We start from the raw sequence: 27,983 nt of genomic DNA, 5'->3' as shown, positions 1-27,983 counted from the left end.
TCTTTAATTCTGCAATATCTAAGCTGCCATTAACCTCCAAAAGTATATTTTCATCCCATTGTAATTTTCATTTTTAGACATTTGAATGGAGACTTTTAAAATATCTTCTATGACTTTATTAGCTTTCAAATATTTGGAATACACTTATCACTATTTTAATAGTAATAAGTAATAGTAATAAGTAACAATATAGTAGTAATAGTAATAAGTAACAATACAATCATCGTCTGCTAATTCTAAAGTTCTGTGTCCATTTTGGCTTTGAGTTGATTGGCCACTTTTTCTCAGCATGTCAGGTTGTATTTTCTTGCTTCTTTGCATGCCTGGTAGTTTTCCAATGAATGCCAAACATTGTGTATTTTATCTTGCTGGGTGATAATTTTTTTTTTATTTCTACAAATGTTCCTGGGGATTGTTTTGCAAAAAAGTTGAGTTACTTTGAAATAGTTTTATTATTTTATGTCCGGTTTTTGTATTTATTAGGCAGTTGCTGGCAGTTGGTGTGATGCTCCGTCTAGAACTAATTATTCCCCAGTGCCAGGACAAGACATTTCTGTATCACTATTTGGTCTCCATGACTCCTTAGGTTTTCCATGGTATCTGGTGGGAATAGGGACTATTCTCAGCCACGTGTGAGTGTCACCTCTGTACTCACTAGTCCTTTCCGGTAGTTATTTCTGTATTCCCTGGTGGCTTTCTCACATCTTTGCATTGGTACCCACTGCTGAATAATCAGGGGGTCCTGCTACATATCTCTGGAGATTTCTCCCTATGCTGCTTCTCTCCCATACTCTGCGAACTTTAATCCTTTTCATCTCCCTGGACTCCATCTGTATCTCTTCAATTCAGGGCATCCACTGGCTTTCCCCTATATAAACTGGAATCTTGAAACTCCCTATAGGCAATAATCTGGGACCATCGTAGGACTCATTTGTCTTGTTTCCCTTTCCTTAGGGATTACTATAATATATTAACTGATGTCCAGTGTCTTGGAAATTACTGTTTTTCATATATTTTGTTTCTGTGTGCTTCAGGTGAAGGGTAAATTCTGTCCATATTACTCCATTCTGGCTAGAAGGATGTCTTCTTATCATAATTGTAATTAATTACTTATGTCCTTAAGAACAATATTTTCTGCCAGAATTATAATGTCTTGAATACAAGAACAATACCTGAATTTGCTCAGCAATACACACGATAACTCAGTAGAGGGTGTGGTCACATAGATACTCATTAAACAAACTGAATGAATAATCGACAAGAGAATACGTGATTGCATATCTGTTTAGGAATTTAAGGTTCCTGATTAAACATAGTCATTTATCAAATCGAACCTAGCACTTCTCATTTAGGTGATGATTTAAGTCAATGAACATCTCTTGTTTTAGCCAACCTGGTATCTACTTTCTCTTCTTCTAATAAAAGTGCACGGATTTTCCTGTGGCAAATGACCTCATCTTCATTCTCTGTCCATGGGGGCAGACATTCTCTGAAATGGGGATGATACCACTGCCAGCTCCAGGCATAGACTTGAAACCCAGGACAAGCTAGTCAGTACATCCCATTCCATAATCTCAGTGAAAAGAGAGACAAAGAACTCAACCGGGTCAGTGAAACTAAAGCTTATACTTTCATAGTTATATTTTAAAAGAAGAGCTGTTTTGCTGAGTATATGGAACAAATCAATTGGCATCCTGGAGCTTCTAGAGGCCTGACTTGCTGCAGCAAGGAAGAATAATAAACCCAGATAGCTGGGCATGTAGACATCATAACAATACTATTTCAACCTCTGGAATCATGTGGACTTCTTGTCATGTGAGCTGATACATTTTCCCTGTGCATTAAGAAAATTTTGCTTGGGCTTTTGTCAATTGCCGTCTTAAATAATACACCAAATGAAGCTAGAGAATATTTTGAGATGATATATAAACTGTTTATAAACTATGCTGTACACATAGTGAAGGGTAAGATGATGTAAGAGGAGGTAGAGATTACCATGGACGATGCATTAGTCAGCTACTGCTGAATAACAAATCACCCCAGCATGGAGGGCATCCATACTAAGCACCTATTGTCAGGCTCACTGGCATTCGCACCAGTCAGAGCAGCTTTTTAGGCTGCAGGTCTATGCATCTGTGGGGCAGCTCTATGTTATCTATCTCCTTACTCTGTAACACGCACACTACCTGGAATAGCAAAAGAAAGAGCCAGTCAGACAATATTTCATCCTTCTATCCACCATGTTTGCAAATCCAATTAGCCAATGCAAGTGATATGGCTAAACTCAAAGAAGTATTCTTCACCCATCAGATGATGAAATATAGACAGATGAACAAACCCAACATTAATAGAGTGAGAATATGTCTCCTGGCATACAGATATAATAGAAGAGTAGAAGAAATGCTTGAATATTTCAACATAATCTAACCTGTCAGAAACCTTCTCAAAGGAAGTGAGGCTGCATTTTAGAGAAAGGGTACCATATTCAGATGGGTGAAAAGAGGCAAATGTGAGTGGTGTGTGTGTGTGTGTGTGTGTGTTTGCATGCCCACATGTACGCATTACAGAAAAGGAGCTATGATCTCAAATGCAAAATGTAAAATGAATGAACTGAGAAGTTTAACAAAATCACAACAGAATGCGATGGTTTCTGCCTCTTTTATGTATGTTTTCATAAGATGTAAATAAGCATATTTCTGTCTGACCAAAATATTTTCTCTCCTACATTTAAAGCAAGATGTTTTCTATTAACATTTCTTTACTGAAAATGACTATATGGAACAAAAAAAAAACTTTAAATAATCAACATACCAAGCTTGCTGCTGGCACATGTTTGCTGACACAAAGAGGACCCGTACTTCATGACCTGATCACCAGGGAAAGTTGAGATGATTCAGCAACCACATATTCCTGTCTGTAGTTTCCCCTGCACATCTTTTACTGCTTATTTATACAGTGGCTCACAATGAACCACTGAGGCCAGAAAGAACAGTTGCAGGGACTTCATTGAAATGTTCTTGTTAATTTATTTCAGATGTCAGATCAAAATTACATTTCTTATCACCGTCTCATAATGATTCCTGCACTTTCTGATCTTACAGTCCGCATTCTTAGCACCCACTTGGGGGGTGTTCTGAGCTGGAGCTGAAATGTCCTTGTGACCCAAGAAGATGGACTCACTTAAGAGCTGCACTCAGCTCTCCCCAGCCATGTGCGGTAGGTAAACCCATGAGCAAGAACAGGCAGTGCTTTCTGCTGGGTCTGGCCTGCTCCTGGGATGACCAGTTAAGTGAAGCTACCGCACAAGCACTAACAGGGCAGCGTGAGTGATGAGGACACTGTAACAGTGAGGGTCCCTGCCTACCATGCTGAGCATTCCTGCTTCTCCTGAGGCCTGATGTCAATTACCTCATGAAACAGATAGATTTCCTACTTCAGCATTTGTTGGAGTCTTAAAAATTTACTTTATTTATGTTTCATGGACACATAATAATTGTACACCTTCATGGGGGTAAACAGGGAAATTTTAATACATATGTTTTACAGTGATCAGATCAGGGTGATTTGCATCTCCATCATCTCAAATACTTATTATTTCCTTGTCAATATCCTCCCTATAGCTATTTAAAACTATATATTATTGTTAACTGTAGTCATCCTACAGTGGTATAGAACACTAGAAATTATTCCTCCCGTCTAGCTGTAATTTTGTATTCTTTAACAAATCTCTCCCTATCTCTCCCTTTCTCCAATCCTTCCCAGCCTCTAGGATCTTCTGTTCTACCTTTTACTTCTATGAGATCAGCATTTTTAAGCTTCCACGAATAAGTGAGAACATGAGGCGTTTAACTTCGTGTTCCTGGCTCGTTCTACTGAGCACGGTGTCCTCCAGTTCCAACCATTTTGCCATGAATGACAGGATTTCATTCTTTTTATGGCTGAATAGTATTCCATTGTGTATACACAAATTTTAAAGTGTATGTGTATATACATTTTCAATTCATGTATCTGCATGGATACTTCATCCATTCATGTATTATTGGACACCTGGACTGATTCTATATCTCAGCTGTTAGAACTAGTGCTAGCAGGCTCTTCAATAACCCAAAGTTCCAGGCTCCACCCAAGCGTGCTCCAGGTTCTGTTCACATCATGACAGGGAAAATTTATATCACTCTTTCCATCCACATAAAAAGGTATTATGACAAATACTTTTGAAAGACGCTTATAATTATAATGGTAATTAACATTGGATGAGGACCTATCATATTGCAGCCAGTGTTCCGAGTGCTTTCATCTGTACCAATCCTCTCATGAGCTCTATGAGGTAGGACGTACCATCCTCCATCCTCCTACCCATTTTACAGGTTCAGAAAGTAAAGTGGAGAGAGGCCAGGTGCCCGTGGGGAGGGAGTTGCCTAGGCAATGACTGGGCCAGGGCACAAGCCCAGAGACTCACAGCCATGTCTGTCTGCTCAACACAGCACTGCAGTACTAAAGACAGGGAGAGACAATTCCTCCACGAGAAACAGAAGACGGCCAGGGACTCACAGTCATGTCTGTCTGCTCAACACAGAACTGCACTTCTAAACACAGGAAGGGACAATTCCTCCATGAGAAACAGAAGACATCCAGGGACTCACAGTCATGTCCATATGCTCAACACAACACTGCACTTCTAAACACAGGAAGGGACGATTCGTCCATGAGAAAGAGAAGATTTGAAAAATTATTCAGTCTCCAAGGAGAGAAGAGTAAACTTGGTCATATATCATTTTCAATTTGTAAAATTAGAAAACAAAACAATAACAAGAAAAATAGAAAACGAATACACAGAAAAACTGCTCTGCTGGAGTTCACAAGGAGAGAGGTCATTCCGCAACCCCTTCCCCGCTGCGGATAAGTGCAATGCAAGCTTCAGAGAAAGCCCCGTCATTGTTCCTACTCACAGGCCTGGACATCTGAGCCAGCCACTTTCTCTGCACCACAGGTGACCTGGAGTTCAGCCATGATGAATGTGACCTGAGCTTCGTCTTCCTGAAAAAAAAAAAAAAAAAAAAAAAACCTTTGTTTACTGAATTCTTCTGTCCTTATCCTTTTGCTGATAGGAAAAAAAAAAGGCTTAATAATGTCTGTGTTTTCTCATGGCTCCCATAAAACTCACAGGTGACTCTTTTTTTTTTTTTTGAGACAGTCTCGCTCTGTCACCCAGGCTGGAGTGCAGTGGTGCGATCTCAGCTCACTGAAAGCTCCGCCTCCCAGATTCACGCCATTCTTCTGCCTCAGCCTCCTAAGTAGCTGGGACTACAGGTGCTCGCCACCACTCCTGGCTAATTTTAATTTTTTGTATTTTTAGTAGAGCCGGGGTTTCACCGCGTTAGCCAGGATGGTCTCAATTTCCTGACCTCGTGATCCGCCCGCCTTGGCCTTCCAAAGTGCTGGGATTACAGGTGTGAGCCACCACACCAGGCCACGGTGACGGTGACTCTTTTATTTGCCTGTGACAGGGCCAAACACAAACCATCCAACGTCTCTCTCATTTCCTGAGTGATTGGCTGAGACCAGAATTGTTTCCCTGAAACTCTAAAACTAGGTAGACACCAAGGTAAACATTGCCTCTTCAGCTAAGTGCCTGAGACTTGCCATGATTGGAAAATATTCTCAGCTGTTAGTCACTCTCTTTGTAGCTTATCTCCTTTTCCCTACAAAAGGCTAAGGCAAAACCAACCTGCTAAGGGCTCTGATCTTTGGACGAGGGATGCTGTCTCTAGTGCACTTCCCCATATAAAATCAATTTCCTTGCATGTTTGCTTTTTTTCTTTGATAAGTCTTTTTTAACAGTAAAGTAATCCTTCACCCTACATCTTCTTCTTCTGTTATTTATGGTTAAATCAAACGGTAACTGCTGCAAGCTGCTTTATGTCCTCTGTTGAAGTTGGAGTGCTATTGGATTGGTCCACTCACATTTTGCCATCACGTTCCTCCCCGCCCTCAACTCTAGTTTGTACTCTAGCATGTTGTGCGAGGTGCGGCAGGATGGAGACCCTATGTTTGCGGATTAATCATATACAGATATTCTTTGTCTCCATGCACACACACAAAAGTGTTCTCTCATTTTATAAATGCATGTCTCTTTTGGTCTCCCTTTTGAAGTTACATTAAAAAAATATGACTATAATAGTTAGCACTTAGAGATCCCTTACTCTGTGCCAGGCATAATAAGAAGTCATGGATACTTCTCTCACTGGCACACAAAGCGTCACAGGACACTGAAAAGGACACAGACTCCTCTTACAGAGAGAGGGAGCAAACAGTCTGGAACTGTAATAAAGTCTACCACACAGCCCAACCTCTGCTGTTGATCAATGCTGCCCAGCAGTGATATACTCACTCCCATTTCTATCCTGGGCCTCTTTACTTCTCCAAGCTACCATGGATTCCTAGCCACAGACTGAACAAATGTATGTACCATCACAGGCCACCTGTAACACCACGACATAATTTAAAAAAAAAAAACAAAACCAGCAAGTCTGCATGACTCAATAGGTTGAAACATTCACTGCACATATAATATGTTGGTAATAAGCTTGCTAAGCATGTATTTCAGGCATTAGTGGAGAGGGCCCCCATCATCACCTGGGGGGGGAGGGAGGGAGGGAGGGAGGGAAGGAAGGAAGGAAGGAAGGAAGGAAGGAAGGAAGGAGGAAAGGAAAGGAAGGAAAGGAAGGAAGGAAGGGAGGGAAGGAAGGAAAGGAAGGAAGGAAGGGAGGGAAGGAAGGGAGAGTGGCAGGGAGGAAGGGAAGGATATGAAGGAGGAGAGAGAAGAAAAGGAGAGAAAAGTTAGAGGAAAGAAAGGAAACAGGAAAAAAGGGGAAAAGTCAAAATTTAATTTTTCAATCTTCAATATAAAATATATATTATGAGGGGAAAATCAGAATTTATTTGACTCTGAGGCTCATGTTAGAGTTCTGATTGTTTTTTTGTTTTGAATTACATGTAAGAGTGGAGCTGTGGGGAAATGCTATACTTTTGTTTTTCTCCTGCTTAGCTGTTCATGTCATCCAAATGGAGACAATATATCCATTCTACTCTCAATACTTATTTATTTTTTCCCAAATTATTCACAGGCCAGGAGAAGCCTCAGTAGCAGTTACTGGTTCCAAAAGAAACAGCGAAGTGGGGACGAATGACCCCAACAGAAAAGGTGGTGGCTACCTTGGCAGAAACACCTGTAATGGCCATCTTGTCCCCGCCAAGTCCTTCTCCCATAAAGGGGAGAAGTGTCATTTCAGATGTCAGCTCCAGTACAGTATTGGACAGAAACACTGGATAAAGATAGAAAGGTTGGAATAACACTAGTGTGTCACTGAATTAAAACAAAACAAAACGAAACAAGACCCAGAGCCCATCACCTCTAAAATGCTTGTTACGCAATACGATAAGCTCCTACAATCTCAGCCATGTTTACATCATATTCTCTGCATGGGCAGGAGGGGACTCTGGAAGCTGAGAAGACCCTTGAGCTGTTATCCCCCCGCTCCCTGGAAATCCCATCACTTCCCTTCCCATAACCTTCTCTTGGCTGAGTTGTGCCAATCAGACTTCCCAGAAATTAAACTTTGCCAGTGAGTGGGTTGGGATTCACACGGTGACATAATGAATAATAAAATGAAGCAGATTAGGTTGAGTTAAAATAAAAATCATGCAGATATCATTAACCCAAAAGTTTAGAACATTCTGCAGGGATAGATGACCTTTTGCCTAGGTAAGTTAAAAGAATGCAGTTTAGCTTCTTCGTCATCACCCATTTCAATCAATGTCATCACCTTATACAGAGACACGTAAGTGGGAATTGGAGAAATATTCACCATCACTCATTTCGTGACTAACATGCAGGATATGGGCCGAAGATCTCAGCGTTCTGGGTTCCCCTCTGCAGATGCACTCTCATATCTTGCTTAGAGTCTCCTGCGGGACCCATCTGTCCAGCAGGTCCCACAAGTCAAGGCTCTCCTATATTTGGGTGGGTCACAGTCATGTGAAGAATGGGGAATGGCTTTCTTTTCAATGTGTTATTCACAGAAAACACAAAATGGCTAGTAAACGTCTAAGACAATGCCCAACTTCACCAGTAGTCAGATAAACACAAATTTAAATGAGATTCCATTCCATGCCTATCAGATTGTTCAAAATAACCAAGGCTGAAATCAGGAAGTGAGGATAAGAGTATAACTGCTGAAAGTTTGGCCAGGTGAGGTGACTCACACCTGTAATCCAGGCTTTGGGAGGCGGAAGTGGGCGGATCACTTGAGGTCAGGAGTGTGAGAACAGCCTGGCCAACATGGTGAAACCCTGTCTCTACTAAAAATACAAAAATTGACCAGGTGTGGTGGTGTGTGCCTGTAGTCCAGCTACTCGGGAGGCTGACACAGGAGACTCCAGGAGCTGGAAGTTGCAGTGAGCCGAGATGGCACTACTGCACTCCAGCCTGGGCAACAGAGAGAAACTCTGTCTCAAAAAAAAAAGGAACCGAAAATTCTCCACTTTGCCACTTGGCTCAATCACTTATAAGAAGCACTTGGCAATGTTTAATCATGCTGAAGACCCACGTACACGTTGACCCAGTAATTTTATTCCTAGGTATATTTAAGTGCACATAAGAAAACATGTCTGACAATGTCCACTTAGGAAAGAGCCTCAGTGCTGACCTATGTGGGTGTACCCAGTTCCCATGCAAGGAGTCTCTCAGCTAACTTCTGTTTCCTGTGGCTTGGCATTAGCTGTACAGACACTTCCAAGCTTGCTTATTTTCCACTGTCTTCTTTCCTTCTTATAATCACATGATTCTCACCTTCAGTCCTCACAATGAGCGTTCACTAAAATATTTTACATTCAGACCTTCTCTGCCTTTCTCATCCAGTGCATTGGGTCTTTGCATGCATCAGCTTTTAAAATTCTTATCACAATATTTCAGGCCTTTTGTACATTATATTCTAGTAAAACGATTCCACCCAAGGTTGTCACAATTCAGAGATTACAGCTCCGTGCAACGTTTTGTTAGAAATATATTCATATATTCACTTTGTTAGCTGTCAAACACACCCCATGAGCCTGCATTTAACATCTCATTTGATAGCATAATTCAACAAAAAGGATAAAAAGAAACGCTATGTACTTATATTATGGAATGGATTTTTACAGGCGTATTAGATAGGCACACACTGCCATGCCAAGGCAAAGCTTTCTGCACGTCTAACACCATAATCAAGGTCAAATAGGAAAAGGGAAGGAATAGAGGCGAGGAGAAAGAGGCAGTGGAATATGAGAACTCCTAATTATGTAATCCTGATTATATATTTATTTTTTATTTTTATTTTTTTTGAGATGGAGTCTTGCTCTGCCACCCAGGCTGGAGTGCAGTGGCATGATCTTGGCTCACTGCAACCTCAGCCTCCCGGGTTTAAGCAATTCTCCTGCCTCAGCCTCCCAAATAGCTAGCTGGGAGTACAGGCGCACACCGCCGTGCTCTGCTAATTTTTTGTATTTTAGTAGAGACAGGGTTTCACCGTGTTGCCCACGCTGGTCTTGACCTCCTGAGCTCAGGCAATCTGCCCGCCTCAGCCTCCCCAAGTGCTGGGATTATAGGTGTAAGCCACCGCACGTGGCCCATAATTACTTTTTCTTAAGCAATCTCTCTTATACATTCTAAAAATAATGCGGAAGTTATTCTCACAAAACAAAGGTGATAACCATCATCTGTGTTGGTTTGTCAACTTGAAAACAGCAACTCTTGACCAGATAGTTTAAGAAAATGTGTGCCCCATGCCAAATCCACAGATATTACGGTGATGTACCCAGACAGTGATTTCTGAGGGCGGGGAGCTGGAAAATCTCATTCGGACTCCTATGGCACGACAGCAGGACCCATGAGACTGTGGTAACCGGATTGGTGCCCTCTCCAGTTCCTGTCCCCATCAGCATTTGCTGCCCACCTAGAACCTCTCTCCCACTATCTACCGAAGCCATTCAGGCGGCGCTGGTCTGAACCCTGGTTCTGGGTCTAGCTACAGTGATTGGTTCAGAGTGGATGTATAATCTAAGTTATGCCACACAAAGGCAGTGATCACCCACCCTGGGACTTGTGCTGGGCCTGTCTGGGGAGAGCAGCTTTCTCCCTGCAGTGGCCAAGTCAGTAGATGGATGCCGGGAGCTGCTAGCAGGGCTATCTTGCCTCCAGGAAGGAAAGGCAGGCCTGAGAAAGAGCCAGGACAGGGAGACAGGATGTTAAAAACACTGCCTGAGCACCTGACCCCAGATTCCTAGTACCGGGCCACCCCCGAACTTCTCCACGTGCATGAGGAACTTCATTAGTGTGGCACCTAATTACATCAATTGGAGGAAGCCACCTGATAAGCCCAGAAACCAAGAGGAAGTCTCCCACTGGGGGTGCAAACTCACAGGGCCCCACACAATGCAGAGAATCCAACAGATGCCACCTGGAAAGAGAAGGCCTGACTCATGGCTGCCTACCAATCAGTCATTCTCTCACGCCTCTTCCTTAACCGCAGGACCTGCTCCCATCTATGCAGCTTAATAATGTCAAATATGCACATCCCCAGAGTCTCTCAATCTAGGACCCACTGTGTACCAGTGGGATCTAAAGAGAAGACTGGTGACAGGATTTGTGGAAAGGTTTTGTTCTTTGGTAAAATGACATAAATGAGGACATACATGCCTCTTCTTGCCTTTGGATATAAATGGGTGAGTCTGTGATGTCTGGAAGAGCTGCAGCTGTATTGTGACTATGAGGACACAAGCTGAACTATGACAGCCAATGCACTGGGCATAATGGAAGGGAAAGATAGAAACACTGGAGTAATGCTGGTGTGCGTCACTGAATTAGAAAGAACCTGGAGATGACCACTTTTGAAATGTCTGTTATGCAATACAATAAATTCCTATAATCTCAGCCACTTTTACATAATATTCTACTAACTGCAATTGAAATCATTCTAAATAACACACAAATCTCACATCCTCTCCACGTATTTGCAATTGAGATTTACAGGATGCTTAGCAAGTGTATGCAGATTTCCAAAAGCTCTGTGGGGATAAAAAGTCACCTCAAGAAGTCCTTTCTGGTAGCTGTAATGGAGTGTAACCAAGAGATTGAGATTGGATTTATCTAGTTTCGTACCTTCATCAATTGCTATCTGCCTAGAAGGCTTTGACCATTCAACCACAGTAACGTTATACTCATTGGAAGAGATCTTCAAAAGCGGGCAAAAAACAATTCCAGACAAGATTTTCTGGGGTCACCAAAAATGTGGCCCTCCCTGTCCAATTCCATTGCAAAAGGAAGTTCCAACCTAACCTACCTGCTCTCACTCACTCACTTATACTTTCATTAGAAAAAGCCTTTGTGCCTAACACTGTAAAGCTCAACTTTTTAAAGAAGTAAAGAAGAAAAAGAGAACGGGTGATAAAAACACAAGATGATCAGTACTAGTCCCCGAAGGGCCTCAGAAGGAGAGCTAAGTTTGGGTCTCACCGACAGCTATAAGGTGTCAATCTAAATAACAAACAAAGAGAGGCACTGAAGATTTTGAGTTTAATCAGGAATAGCAGGGCCTTGCAATGCAAAACATGCCTGGCAAGGCAACCATGGGTGCATTCAGGAAGACAAAGGATGACAAGGGATTTTAAAAGTAAAATGAGGATGATTACATAAGTTGTTTAAAAATAATCATCCTTGGCTACAAGAATTAATCACAAGGGTGGCGACAGCCCGAGGCAGCTGGGCAGATGCCCCTGCAGGAGCACGTTGTGTCTAAGGTTGCAGTGGCCTTGGTGCAGGGCTGTGGTTTCTGGCGGTCTCCTGAGATGGTTCTCATTATCAGGCAAATATGCATAAGGGGCTCCTCTCATGGTTTTCCCTGGCTTCATTTTGTCAGGGTTTGACAGAGTGAGTATTTTAAATCTGACAGCTTTCCCAAAAGCAAAGGAGGGACGCGTCTGGAGTTGTGCATTATACAGACCCCTTAAACAGCCCCATGCAAGACGCATGCCACTCAAAGGAAAGGTGGCAGGGGGTAAGAAGAGGGAAGAGAAGCAGAGACGGTCTAGATCAGGCTGTTACCATAGGAATGAGGGTTCCTTCTGCAAGTTGCATGTCTTCACGGAAGACTACTCAAAATGAACCCTCTCCACTTCCCACGGAAGTTCAACCCCCAAAATTCTAAGTGGCTTCTAAACTGGAGAGACGCAGACTGCTTGCCAGACATACAAAGCTCATCGGGCTTAATACTGTGAGATATGAGATGTGTTCCACCTTATCCATAGTCTATACCTCAGCTGTGGTATTTGCAAAACAATTGCAAGCAAGTGCTAAGGGGCCGTAACTCAATAGCTACCCAGGCCCTGGTTTGACACATTAAAAAGTGCATTCACCTAGGAATGGCTGAGCAGGGCTGGCACAGGAAAAGAACAGATGAGCCTGAAGACTTTTGGGGGAATGAAAAAGCAGGGAAAGACTAAAAAATGATGGAGATTTGTCAATAGGACACGAAAGCCAGCTTGAAGGTACGGCCACTGGGCAAATGCAGAACCAGTTACGCATAAAATAATGATAATCAAGGAATACAACCTGCTGAATACCGTAAGAATCCATGAGCCCATCCTGATATCGATGGATTGACTAATGATGTCTTAGTCAGTCCGGACTGCTATAGACTGAGTTGTTGAACAACAAACCTTTATTTCTCATGGTTCTGGAGATGGGATGTCCTAGATTAAGGGGCAGCTGATCACTTTCAGGTGAAGCCCTACTTCCTGTCCTGCAGAAGGCCAGCTTCTCACCACGCCCTCACAAGGCAGAGAGAATGAGCAATCTTTCTGGTGTTTCTTCTTATAAGGACATTGATCCCCTCACGAGGGCTCTGTCCTCAGGACCTCCTCTAAACCCGACAGCCTTTTAAAGGCCCCAACTCCAAATACCATTGCACTGGGCTTGAGGCCTTCAACACACAAATTTGGGGGGAACAGAAACATTCAGTCCATTACAGAGAGATAAACGGTCAATAAATACATGGAGAGAAGGGAAAGATTTTCCCTGTTGCAGAAATCAAGTAACATTATTCTGATGAATGCTGAAGCAATGGTGGAGTTAGAAGTTCACCATGTATCAAGCATTAAATTTCAGTCCAAAAGATTCATCTATGGATTTGAAAATGATTTAATTTTCAAATTCACTCTTGTGACTCTTCACAGGATATTTATTTATTTTTTGTTTGGGAACAGGGTCTCATTCTGTGTCACCCAGGCTGGAGTGCAGTGGTGTGACCATGGCTCACTCCAGTTTCAACCTCCTGGGCTCCAGTGATCCTCTCACCTCAGCCACTCAAGTAGCTGGGGCCACAGGTATGTGCCTCTCATTGGATAATTTGTAAATTTTTGTAGAGATAGGATCTCACCATGTTGCCCAACCTGGTCTCAAACTCCTGGGATCAAGCAGTCCTCCCATCTTGGCATCCCAAAGTGCTAGGATTACAGGTATGAGCCATTATGCCTGGCCGTGGATGTTTAAATGGTCTGAAAGCATCTCCTCAAAAGATACATATTGATGACAAAGAATACATGCTAACCTGATAGTGGATAAACCTGGCACTCACTGCCTTAACCAAATGACCAAGGTGAACATCTCTGGAGACAGGACTGTTTACAGCATTCACAAATGGAAAAATACTATAAGCATTGTTTTATACTTCACTTTTTTTTTTGAGACAGGGTTTCACTCTGTCACCCAGGCTGGAGTGCAGTGGCGCAATCATAGCTCATTGCAGCCGTGATCTCCCGGGCTCAAGTGATCCTCCCACCTCAGCCTCCCAAGTAGCTGGGATTACAGGTGCACACCACCATAGCAGTGATCCTCCGGCCTTGGCCTGGAGTAGAGATGGGGTCTCCCTGTGTTGCCCATTCTGGCCTCAAACTCCTGGGCTCCAGTGATCCTCCCACCTTGGCCTCCCAAAGTGCTGGGATTGCAGGCATGAGCCACAGTGCCCAGCCTTGCTTCACTTTTTTAACTTGGCCATACATCTTAATTATTCTTAGATAATTGTTCCTTGGAGATTGTTGTATCTCAGCAAATGCAGAGCTACTTCATTCTTTCTAGTGGCTGTATACTACCTCCTAGTATGGATGGTACACAATTTTTGTTTGATTTTTTAAATTACATTTATTTAACTTGAACAATGTAATGTTTACACACACACACGTTGTGAAATAATTACTCCACTCAAGTTAAGTGACATATTGACATATTCATTGCCTTATGAAGTTACCATTTTTTCTTTGTTATGAGAACACTTAAGATGTACTCTTTTAGCAAATTTCAAGTTTGCAAATAGAGTATAACTACCTATACATAGTTGCCATACTGAACATACTAGAATGTATTCATCATACAGACTTGAAATTTTTCATCCTTTAACCAAATCAACCCAGTTCTTCCCTGCACTTGACCTAGTAGCAATCATTCTACTCTTACTATGAGTTAGACTTTCATAGGCGCCACCTATAAGTGAGCTCCTTCAGTGTCTTTCTGTTTCTGACTTATCTCACTTAGCAAAATGTCCTGCAGCTTCCATGTTTTATAAATGGCAGGATTTTCTTCTTTTTAAAGGCGGAATAATATTCTGTGTGTGTGTTGAGGGTGGTGGTGGTTGTGTGCGGGTAACAGAGAGAGAGAAGGGGGGAGTTGATTGTAATAAAAGAGTTACATTTGTGGAATATGGGTGAAGAGAAACTGAGAATTCTTTGTACTATTCTGATAACATTTGTAGGTCTCTAATTGTATCAATAAGTTGTATATAATATATAATATCTTTGTAAACAGATATTATATTTAATCTATAAATATATAACATCTATGTAAATATATATTATATATAAAACCTGTATATTAATGATATATATCTATGTAATTAGATATTACATATAACTGAGATATATATATATACATATATATGAGACTTTCTCCTGCCTTTTACAGCATTTCTATCTTTCCCCATGTTAACTCTTAGCTGTTTCCTGTGGAAAATAAAAAGCAATATAATGACATAATAATGCTGGTGGTGCATAGGAAGAAGCTGTGTGGCTGAAGCTTGCCCAAGAGCAGAGGGCCTGCATCTCCTATTACACCGGAAGCACCGATTTCCCAGAACAGACACCTGGTGTTGACAGGGATCTTGCATCCTACACCCACTCCCAGCACCTGAGGCTCTTCCTGCTCACCTGCTTGGTGTCTGGGGGATGGTCCCCAGAGGTGAGGGTGGCGCTTGTCCCATGCCACCTTTATCTCTTTCCTGCTGGACTGACCACTGGTCTTGGGTGCTGATTCTCAGGATCATTACCTTCTTACTTGCTGCTGCCATAATTCTGTTGGATGGAAAAACACACACGTATGTCTATATGTACGTGTGCATGTATATATATACAGACACACCTCTGAGTTTACTTTCATTTTTATTTTGTTCCTTCTACTCTCAAAATATAATAGCATCATATATAAAAATGTATATATACACACACATACCATACACACATACATATGAGGCCACATGAACATACATGCATACAAGTAGGTAATACAATTATTTTTATATTTCTTTGTATGTGCATGCATATGTGTATGTATATATGTATGTGTACACACACGCACACACACACACACACACACACACACACATATATATATATGAATATATATGAAATGAGATAGAGAGAGTGTATGCACCGTTGGGCCAGTCCCCAAGGAAAAAGATACGAACCTCTACCTTTCCCTTTGGGGAGTTGTGGTAAGGATTTTTGTCAGTGCTTTTCCTTTAAAAAGCATCTTGTAGCCCCATCATTTTTCCAAGGTCATGAATTTTCTATTTACAAATATTGATTGGGAAGAAGGTCACTTTCTGCTTCAGGGGCTCCGGTGTGACATAAAACTCAAACTCAACCCATCCAGGATGCGTTGGTGTGATCTGAGCCCTAGGGGGAGTCCCTGGGTGCTGCAAGGCAGAGCTGGGGACGCCGCACATCCTTTGTCAGTTCAGGGGCTATGACAGTCAGAGGAAGCGGGCACATGCTGAGCACACAGGTAAGGAAGATGAGGGTGACCACACACTTGAAAGAAACACAAACAGTGTTGTGGGATAATGTGGACGGTTGATGCTTGGGTATAAAGTGTGCAGACCTCCCTCCTGTGAGGAAGAGCCAAGAAGGCAGGTCCTTCTGCCATAAAGAAGTGACACCGCCAGAGCTCAAAGTCCGTGCATGTGGCACTTAGTACCTGATCCTAAAAATATGGCCCCTGGGTTATGACAGAGGCCTCCTGGTTACTGCAGGGATTCCACGGGCAGCCTGAGGACCTGCCCCAATGCTGTGGATGTGTCTGGAGAACCATCAGGATGATGGCAGGGCTGTGGAATACCCACGGCTTGCTGTGCCTTAATTATATGGAAGTCATACCCCAATGACATGCCTGGACTTTCAGAGGCATAAATCAAAACCGCAGAGGTCGGCATGGTTTTGGCTGCAAAGGAGATCAATTCCCTTCTGCTTCCCAGAGGCCTGTGTACCAGTGAGAAATGTCCTGTGAGGCTCTGGGCACCTCTGCGTTTATTTTAATTATTATTTTGTTCCTCTTACTACCAAAATATAATAGCATCATTCTCTGTGTACTTGCAGACAGAGTCCACTGAAGGCAGGTGGCGATGCCTCCCTACAAGCTGCCCTTCTGGCTGTATTTTTCAAATCCACACAGAGAGCACTGAGGTGGGTGAAATGTTCTTTGGAGCTTGCAAAGGCAGAATGTTTCTGCCTAAGGATGGTTTTCAAAGTATTTAACAAATGGCGTGGCGGGCACAGAGCTGAGAGCTGGTTCTAGATCCACCTGCTGTGCTAGCCACTGACACTTCTGCTGATGGCCTTGCAGAGTTGGGTGCAGGTATCCCAGAAGTGGAGCCCCACAAGGAGACGGAGATGATTGGATGACACGGCAGGGCACCTGGGGCAGCAGCTGCCACCCATCGTCCACGTGCCATAAAGAAGTGAAACTGCCAGAACTCAAAGTCTGTGCACATGGCACTTAGTACCTGATTCTAAAAATATGGCCCCTGGGTTATGACAGAGGCGTCTGGTTACTGCGGGGATTCCACGGGCAGCCTGAGGACCCGCCCCAGTGCTGTGGATGTGTCTGGAGAACCATCAGATCGTCCACGTGCACTTCCGGGGTGTGTCACCTGAGGGAGGTTATTGCATTTGAGTAGAGGTGGGGGACAGCCCAGGATGATTTCTAGGTGTTGGCAGGGTTGTTGTCTACATGATGCCAAATATGCCTTCCAGCTATCTGCTGCTCAAGTCTCAATTCTGCACCTGCCTCTTTATTCTTTCTAGATCCCAAATAAAAGTGCATCCCAGTAGCCACGCAGGGGCTTGCCTTCCTGGGGCATCTTGGTTTTCTCTCCTGAAACTTTACTGGCTCATGTTCTCCATCCCGACCTTTAACATCCACCCCTCAACATATACCCTAGCACTTTACTTAGGTCTAAAAGCTCAAGCACAACTGCTCTTTCCTTCCATCTTCACAACAACATTTCTGCTTCTTATGCTTTCCTAGAGAACAGTCACCCCTCCCTGCCCCAGGAAACTCCAAGGCAAAAGACAGATGAATCTCAGGAAGAAAAATTGGCTGCCGTAGCGACTTGGAACATATGGAATTCTGACACTTTGGCTGGGCAAATTTTCCAGGAAAGAGGGACACTCCAGAAATCACACCCTCTTTCCTAGTGGCTGGTTGCATCTAGAATTCCAAGGATAAATTCCTCCCAAAGAGTGATGCTCAGACAGGAACATCATTTGGAAAGAGCGCAGCGCGGACAGACCTTCGTGTGTACCAAGGAGCCCACGTCTATGTGGGAGAGTCATTCATCAGCTACCGCAGCACTGACCCACTTTTGGATTTTTTGAAAAATAACTTTTCTATGTTTTCTTCTTATTATTAATCCATTCCAGCAAGTCTCAACATCAAGTTATTTTTAATAAAATGCAGCATTATTTCATCACTCACCATTCAATAGTACAAAAATCAGACACATATCCATTAGAATGGCAGAAAAGAAACTAAAAAAGCAGAAAATATTGAGTGCTGGCAAAGATCTGAGAGAAATCACAAATATTGTCATTGGGAGGTTAATTGGTACATTCACCAAAACGTCTACTAAAGTTGAATTGAGGTTTATCCCATGTGACAGATAGAATACTGGCCCTCCAATGATGTTCACATTGTACCCGAAGCCTGGGAGTATGTCATCTTCCAGGGTACAAGGTCTCTGCAAAAGTGACTAGCTAAGGACCTTGAGATGGCAGATGATCCTAGATTATCTTATTGAGCTCAATGTCATAACAAGCGTCCTTGTAAAAGGGAAGCAGGAGGACCTAAGTCAGAATAAGGGGAGGTGATGACAAAAGAGATGAGAACAATGCACTTTGATGGTGGAGGAAGGGGCCAGGAGCCAAGGAATGTGGACATCGCTAGAAGCTGGAAATGACAAGGAAACACAGTCCCTTAGTACCAAAAGGAAGCAGCCCCCACTGAACTTTGTTTTTCACCCTGTAAAGCTGAAGTTCTGGCCTCCAGAACTGTAAGGTAATACATTTGTGTTATTTTAAGTTACAAAGTATGTAGTAATTTGTTACAGTAGCAATAAGAAAGTAATATGCCCTCTGACTCAGAAGTTCAAACTCCTAAATCTGAAACAAACAAAACAAAACAAAACAAAAAACCCCAAAACTATATCCAAGAGAAATGCATGCAGGTGTTCACCCAAAGACAGCCACAAGCATGTTTGCAGCAGGACTGCCATAATAGCCCAAACAGGAAATGACTCCAGATGCCTGTAAACAATACAACAAATAAATTCAATATGGTACAGTCATATAATTGCATATGTTTAGGAATAAGAATGGCCAAACCTACAGCTATGCACAATAGCACAGATGATACTCCTAACATCTTGTTGCAAGAGGGAAGTGATAAGTTTTTGCTGTGTCCCCACCAAAATCTCATCTTGAATTGTAGTTCCCCCAGGTGTGGTAGAAAGAACCCGGTAGGAGGTAACTGAATCATGGGGGCGGTTACCCTCATGCTGTTCTCGTGATAGTGAGTGAGTTCTCACGAGAGCTGATGATTTTATAAGGGGCTCTTCCCTGGCTTCACTCTGCACTTCTTGCTACCACCATGTGAAGAATGACGTGTTTGCTTCCCCTTCCACTATGATTATAAGTTTCCTGAGGCCTCCCAGCCATGCTGAACTGAGTCAATTAAACCTCTTCCCTTCCTACATTTTTCAGTCTTGGTTATGTCTTTATTAGCAGCGTGAGAACAGACTAATACAGGAAGTCAGACACAGACGAGAACAAAGTAACCTCTAAAGCCAGCAGAGCTATGCCATGGTGTTGGAGTCGGTACCATGTTACCCTAAGAGGGAGGGTCATAAATAGACATAGTCATGAGGAATGAGTCTGGTGTTCTAGTAATATTCAATTTCTTGCTCTGAGTGTATCAGTTTGTGAAAATTCATCACACTGTACACATATGTGCACTTTTCTCTATGTTATAATATAAATTCACTTTTTGCATATATTTCAGGATTCGGTAAAAAGTTTACAAAAACAGACACCATATTTTAATACAGATTCAAGTCAAAGACGCAGGTCACTGTGGCTGCATCTCTATGCAGGCTCAGTGGGAAGCCTGGTGGTCAGGTGCAATGACACTATTTGAATCCCTGAAGGGTCTCTTCCCTTCACATCCCATTATCCCTTATGTCTAAAGCTACACTGTTGAATTTTGGGTTTCAGGGTATCCTGGAAACATTGAACTTGTCTATGATGGAGGAGGGGGCTGCTTAGCAGAGCCTCAGAACCCAGGTGGGCATCCCTGTTTTGGAACCAAATATGGGCATCCTGTTGGCTGTCAATGAGAGGTGGGTCTCCCCAGAGAATAAGGAGAAGGACATCAGCCAAACCACAGTCTTCCCAGCTCCCTGACAATGGTGATAAGAGAGTGAGGGGCTCAGAGACTCAGAGAGTCTGCACTGCATAATCCCCTCCTCTTATTCCAAGACAACAACACTTTTATTTAGCTTGGTGGCAAGCAAAGAAACAAAACCAACAACTCACTTTGTGAGGATGCATCTGAATTTTTCTGCCCGATCTTTGGACCACGAGTGCTTGAAGTGCCTTCAGCCTTTGTTGTGTGTTTTGCACTCAATGAGTAAGTCCAGTCTTTGTTTGCCTTGGGAAGAGAAGGGAGGAAGAAGACCACCAGTTAGAACCTTGAAAGAAGCAATGTGAAAGGGCTTTCCACTCATTCCCAACATTTAAAGAGTTCCCTGAGTGTCCAGTGTTGTACATGTGGCACTTGGGAATATGCAGAGGAACAGGCTCTCTCTAGACCAGTGGGTCTCAGATTGATCTTGCCACAGGCCATGAGCATGGATCACCTTCCCTAAGTTCCTGCTTTGCAGGAGAAAAAGAGCTTCCTAACAAAAGTCCACTGAGCAACTCCTACATGGTAAGTACCAGTCTAAGCACCACACATTTATTGGTTGATTTAATCTTTACAACACACCTTAACTTCTCTGAATCTCAATTTCCTTGCATTTAAATGGGAATGATGACAATGTCAACTCCAAAAAGTTTTTGTAATGAGACAAAAATAAAGTACAGAAAGTGCCTAGAAGAGGGATTGGTACATTTTAGGTTCTCAGGAAATTATAGCTAATATTTTTATTGCTCTAAAAACTAAATGCTGTATATAATCCAGAGACGATACACGCAGTCTCAGCCTTCTTCTCTCTGTGAGTGTCCTTTGGAGCTGCTCCGACTCCAGCAGGATCACAGCCACCTCTTCCCTCTGGAGCTGATGAATCCGATGCGACTCTTCAGTTCTGGAAGAAAAGTCCTTTAACTTCAGGAAGAGCACATTCTCTATTGGCTGAAGTAAATTATTTTAAATCCTTTTTCCCCCCATAAAGACTTCTGTAGAATGGCTTCCGTAGAATTGCCTTAGATGTTTTGTTTGTTTATTTGTTTTTGAGTCATTCTTGTAGCATTTATGTTTCTTGGTGTGACTGGACTTTTCTTGCCAGACATCTCTCTACAATCACTTCTGTATGGGTTGAAAAGAATACTTGATTTCCCTCTTAAGCATGCATTTGATTGGTTTAAGTCACTGGTTCTCAACTGGAGGCAACTTGGCATGCCCCAGGCATTTAGCAATGTCTGGAGACAATTTTGATTGTTACAACTGGGGGGCTGCAACAGGCATCGAGTGAGTAGAGGCCGGGAGTGCTGATAAACAAACTACAATACACAGGTCAGCCCCTGCGCAAAGATCTATTTGTCCTCAAGTATCAATGTCATGAGGTGGAGAACTGCTCGAGTGAACAACCTACTCTTAACCCTTTAAGTGAACAGTACATTACCATCTACTAGACACATTTTCTCAGAACCTATTTGGAATATTTTCTGTACAGCCTCTTGCCAACTGCATTGTGTTTTCATCTACCTGGAACCCCCACCCACCCTGTCTATACTGGCATGATTCATTCACTCGTCTCCTCCAGATCGTTGGGCAAGTGGTGCTTTCTCCATGAGGCCGCTCCTCCCCACTCTCCATCATTTCTGTCCTCCGTTCATGGTCTAGTTCTCTCTTCAGTGCTCTGCAATAACATTCAGCACAATTTTACTCTCCTTTTTTCTTATCTCTGGTGCGTAGGTCCCCCCCGGTGCTGAGAAATGTGCCTGGCTCAAGAAGAACTTAATACATATTGTTTTAATGATGATCTAGGAGATGGCAGTGCTCTCTGGACACCTTGCGAGTCTGCAGCTAGAGTGACAAACTGTACCGGGTTTCAGAGGACTAAGGAGTTTCTTCATATGCAGGATTTTCAAGTCTAAAATACGACAGTACCAGGCAAACCACATGAGTAAGTCACTCTAAGGACTCTAAGTGTTAAGGCTCAGCAAGAGACTACTAACAACCACCAAGACTGGGGCAGGGAAGGCACGAAAATGCTGCCTACCAGAGGCCATCACACCTTCAAGCATAGCAGAATAATTTGGCAAGCTGGTTGTATTAGTCAGGTTCTCTAGAGGGACAGAATTTATATATATATAATATTATATTATAATATTATACATATAATATATATTATATGTATATTATAATATTATATATATAATATATATGTATAATGTGTATACATATATATACACATATATATGTATCTCCTAGCCTCCCAGCCTACATCTTTCTCCTGTGCTGGATGCTTTCTGCCCTCAAACATTGGACTCCAAGTTCTTCAGTTTTGGGACTCAGACTGGCTCTCCTTGCTCCTCAACTTGCAGACAGCCTATTGTGGGACCCTGTGACTGTACAAGTTAATACTTAACAAAAGTGCCTATATATATTGCTTGCATTATATATATTATATATATATATATACACAATAATATATATGTTATATCCTATGTTATATATAATTATATATTATATATAACATATAAGGAGAGTAAAATTGTGCTGAATGTTATTGCTGAGCACTAAAGAAATAGACCATGAATTACATATTATATATTTACAATATATAATTATATATTATAATATATATTCATATATAATAGATTATATATGAATATATATTATAATATATAATTATATATTATAATATATAAATATATAAATATATATAAATATAATATATAAATATAAAATATATAAATATATATATAAATATAATATATAAATATAAAATATATAAATATATTATATAATATAAAATATATATAATATAATATATAATATATAAATATATTATATAATAGGATATAACATATATATATTATTGTAGCAGGACGAGCCACAGACAAAACCCCTCAGACACTGGGTTAAAGAAGGAAGAGGCTTTATTCAGCCAGGAGTATCAGCGACTTGTTTCTCAAGAATGGAGCTCCCTGAAGGAAGAGTTCCTGACCCTTTTAAAGGCTCACAACCCTAAGGGGTCCAGGTGACAGGGTCGTAATAGATTGAGCAAGCATGGGGTACGAGACTACGTCCACATATGTTAGTATTAGCGGTGGGGATAAGCAATGCAAGTATGTCTCCATACCATTGTCTGTGATCTATAGATAGCACAAGCGATTAGGGTGGGGGTTAATCTTTAACCTACAGGCCTGGCCAGTGGCACCGATCAGTCTGTTGTTTTTCAGCTTTTACTTCCTCCTTCTCTTTGGAGACAGGGGACAGTAGGAGAAATAGCCTCTCTCCTCATTCTCCCCTTTGAGACCCTCACTCAGTAGTGGGAGTTCTCACTCTCATCCTCACTATCTAGATCTTCCTGTGAGACAGATCGATAGTGATTCATGTAATACACTTGTGCTGAGGTCTTTTGATGAACTAAGGTAGTAACAAAACCTTTTAGTAACTGGACAAATATGGGTTACATACAGAGGAGTAACATGCAGGTTCCTAACACTATTATTATTACCATTATAAGAGTTTTAAATCCTCCTAGAGCTGGAAATCATTTTCCAATCAGGGATCCAGGATCAAACCCATGTGAAACCTGCATGGGCACATGTGACAGCTTTGTCATGTCTCTAACTATATTTTTGACTACTTGTCTTTGATCATCTATTTGCTGACAGCAATTGGTCAAATTGAATTTTTCATACTCCTCCTTCAGCTGCCAGCAAACAGTCTAAGGCCAATCTATTCTGATAGATGGCATTTCTCATTTGGGTTTCCTGCCAGGCTAAAAAAGAGTCAAAGCTCTGCCAGTTTCACTAGTGATTATTTTTAAGATGGCCTGTAACCGTATGATCCAGTTGAGCATGTAGAAGGGGGTTTGGCATCCCCACAAGCTGTCTTGTGCCCATGTGACAGTCCTGTAGTACTGTATGATTCTTTTGGGGGGCCACTCATCATCTTTCCAATTTCCTATAGCTATGCTCCTCTTTTCTCAGGAGGCATGCACAGGGAAACCTAGGAGCTCACCTTTTTTTACAGGCAGTAGGAAAAAGATGGCTTAATGGTGCCAATGACACAAATACCTGCCCATTGGTCAGGTAACTTGGTGTAGACTCTATGTCCACATATCCAGTATAGTCCAGCGGGAGCCGTCCAGTCTCAATGAGATTCTGGATGGGCCCGAACAGTCTGTAACTTGAGAAATTTACTGAATGGACTCTTTTCAGTGCAATTGAGACCCCACCAGGTGACTGTCCCTGCCGTGCTGTTATATAGCTTTTGTCCTAGGCAATTGAGCCTTCCCACAGGGATGGTGAAGTCCTTCCCCTCTCTACCTATGCAGTATTCTCCAATAATCGAGGTTTTCAAGACCCAGAAGTTGCTAGTTTGGGCCTTTGGGACTGGAATTGTGTCAGGAACTGGATCAGTAAGTGCCAATTCTCAGGCTTCCCAAGGCCATTGGTCTCCGGTAGTGGTTCCCTGACATACATAACAGGAAGTAACATTGAGGGAATGAACTACATTTTCTGCTAGCTGGAGAAACAAGTTCTTTGTCTCTTTTTTCCTTTTTTGGAAGCTCTGGTGCTGGCAGATTCAGCTCCTCATAAAAGGTCTGAAACACTGGTTTGGGAGACCGCCTGTGGACCTCCCCTTGGACTAAAATATTTACTCAGGGATCCTGTCCAGTTCCATCTATTCCTAGAGTTACATACTCTCCTGTTTTCTAACGGGGATCAAGGAGATTGGTAATTACTAGTTCTAATGGATTACAGTGACCACTAGTGCAGGAAGAGTTACTCTTTCCTTTTTGAAGGCAGACAGGGTCCTTCTCATCCTTTTTTCAGGTGGCCTAAATGACACAGGACCAGTAACTACATTCATCATTACACAGTCCTAATTCATGACAAACATACTTATTTTCTACTGTATGGCTCCTTTCCCAATCTAGAGAGCCGCATCTTATTCTATTTCTATACAGGTTACTGTTGATTGCTGCACAGGTGTCAACTTTTAAGATAATTTGTTTGGGGACTCCCTTTTCTTCTGTTCTAGTTATTATTTTACTCTTATTGGCTTTTCTCCAGTTGCCAGTCCTCAACCTTATTTCAAACACTGTGGTCATGGGGTGTTCAGATGGATCATAACGAATACTAGGTTGTCCATCTTCTGGACTGCATACCTTATACTGGGTGTCATTATATAAACAAGTTCCTTTTAGAGTTCCTGTGTATTCATAATAACTATAAAACAGAAAGACTGTTTTAACCTTTTGCCCTACCTCAGTAACTTGATGCATACACTGGGAACAGTCCTCAGTCTGAAGAAGGTCAGTTGAAGTCCTTACTGTACAAATCCAGAATTTAAGGAAAATGAGTTCCAGGATGAGTTTCCTCATGCTTTGGCCATGCGTGGACCAGTTAGCTTCTGGGTGTGACTGGAACAGGGCTTGTCGTCTTCTTCAAAGTTACTTTTTTGCAGGCGTTGTACGGGCTTGGTCTCGCCTCCCAGGTCTCAGGTGCTGCAGGTTTTACGTGGCTGTGGTGGATCCAGGCTGGGATTCCCTCTACCTTTATGGCTGTGGGAGTGGTCAAGACGACGGTCTGGGGTCCTTTCCACCGTGGCTGCAAGGGGGCTACGTTCGAATCCTTGATCCACACCCGATCACCTGGGGAGAAAGGGTGAACTGGGGAGAGTAAGCTGATGGGGCACCTCTCACTTACCCAGGCTGAAATTTTTTGTTGTTATCTTCCCTAAAGCCTGTAGCTATCACTGTAACTCAATTTCACCTAGCTCTTGCGGAGTGCCTGGGAGTCCCTGTAGTGTGGGAGGGGGCTATGATATAATATTTCATAAGGGGAATATCCTGTTCTTTTAGAAAGGGTACATCTAATCTTAAACAATACCACAGGGAGAGCTTGTACCCACTTTAATCCTGTTTCTTGACACACTTTCCCTAAACTATTTTTGATAGTCCGATTCATCCGGTCCACCTTTCCAGAACTTTGTGGTCGATAGGTGGTATGTAGTTTCCATGTGATCCCCTATACCATTGCTGTCTTCTGTACCAAGTCAGCCACAAATGCCGGCCCGTTGTCTGAGCCAATTGGTAAGGGCAGTCCAAACCTAGGAATGAGATCACAGAGAAGCACATGGGTTACTTCATGAGCTTTCTCAGTTCGTGTTGGATAGGCCTCCACCCACCCAGAGTATGTACACGCTAGAACTAGCAAATACTTGTTACCTCCACATTTGGGCGTCTTGGTGAAGTCTACTTGGAGATCTTCAAAGGGGGCTGCTCCACAAGCCTGTATGCTGGGCAGGACTTTTGGACCTTGCCTAGCATTGTGCTGCCAGCAGGTGACACACTGCTGCGCCACTGTTTTGGCAAGGGCTGACAGATGTGAGATGTAGAAGTACCAGCCTAACAACTTTTCAAATGACTCTTCGCCTAGGTGGGTGGTCTTATGCAAGCCAGTACAATTGCAGCCCCTAGCAGCTGTGACACAGCTATTCTTCCATCCAATAACTGGATCCATCCCTCTTTTATAACCTGTCCTCCCTCTGCCTGGAGAAAGTCCTTCTCTTCTTTAGAATAAGTAGGCACAAGGTCAGGTGACTGAAGGAGCAGGGGGGCTGTGACTAACACCCAGTACGGGGTGGATGCTGCCTTTCGAGCCTCTGAGTCAGCTTGGGAGTTCCCCAAGGCAATCGAGGTGGAAGCTCACTGGTGTCCTCTGCAGTGCATGACTGCCACCCTTTGGGGCTCCCATACTGCCTCTAATAATTGCAAGATCTCTTGCTGATACTTTATGTCTTTTCCCCCAGAGTTCAACAGGCCTTTTTCCTTGTATAATGCCCCATGCATTTGGAGGGTTAAAAAGGCATACCGAGAGTTAGTGTAAATGTTTACAGTCTTACCTTCACTTAGCTCTAAGGCCTGAATTAAAGCAATGAGTTCGGCCTTCTGGGCTGAAGTGCCCTGGGGTAACGATTTGGCTTCAGTGACAGTGTCTAGGGTTACCGCTGCATATGCCACACACCTCTCTCCTTATGGGTTGACGAAGCTGCTCCTGTCCATGTACAGCTCCCAGTCTACTTATGTCCAAGGATGGTCTCGGATGTCAGGCCTGCTAGAATAAACTAAGTCCATCACCTCTACACAGTTATGTTCAACTGGGCTCTCTGATACCGGGAGCAAGGTGGCAGGGTTCAGGGTGTTGCAAACTTCAATGGTTATGTGGGGATTCTCACAGAGCAAGCTTTGGTATCTAGTTGGTCTAGCATTCGTTAGCCATTGATGTCCTTTGGTATTCATTAAAGTCACCACAGCATGGGGGGCCTTTATAGTTAGGTTTTGCCCAAGAGTTAGCTTATCCGCTTCTTGTGCTAGCTGGGTTGTTGCTGCCAAGGTCCTTAAAGATGCAGGCCAATGCTTAGAAACCCCGTCTAGTTGTTTGGAGTGGTAGGCCACTGGCCTCGACCAGGGCCCCACAGTCTGGGTCAAAACTCCAAACACCATTTTTTCTCTCTTTGACACATACAGTGTAAAAGGTTTCGTCAGGTCAGGTAGCCGCAGGGCTGGGACCAACATGAGATTTTCTTTTAACTCATGAAAAGCTCACTGCTGTCAGGACCCCCATTTGAAAGGTTCCTTGTCTCCCCGCTTTGTGACTCCGTATAGGCCCTTAGCCAATACTGCAAAGTTTGGGATCCACAACCTGCAGAACCCTACAGCTCCTAAGAATTCTTTCACCTGCCTTCTGGTCTTAGGCTCCAGCAGGTTGCAAATGACTTGCTTTCTTTCTGATCCCAGGCTGCACTCTCCCTGTCAGATAGTAAATCCCAGGTAACATACTTGCTGTTTGCAGATCTGAGCTTTCTTCTTGGACACCTTATA

The 27,983-nt window shown here is 42.8% G+C and overlaps 1 long non-coding RNA gene across 1 annotated transcript; it reads right to left on the bottom strand.

Annotated features, from left to right (window-relative positions):
- Positions 1 to 3,444: 3,444 nt before the first annotated feature.
- On the bottom strand, positions 3,445 to 27,983 carry LOC105370067 (uncharacterized). The gene is made up of 4 exons (XR_945528.4): positions 25,365 to 27,983; positions 20,233 to 20,347; positions 15,292 to 15,435; positions 3,445 to 5,037 (listed from the first exon to the last, which is right to left on the bottom strand). It is a non-coding gene; the product is annotated as an uncharacterized LOC105370067 (long non-coding RNA).

The sequence above is a fragment of the Homo sapiens genome, chromosome 12, assembly GCF_000001405.40.
Source record: "Homo sapiens chromosome 12, GRCh38.p14 Primary Assembly".
Taxonomy (NCBI): Eukaryota; Metazoa; Chordata; class Mammalia; order Primates; family Hominidae; genus Homo; species Homo sapiens.
Note: the sequence above shows the minus strand (reverse complement) of the source record. Positions and strands in the feature narration are given on the sequence as shown.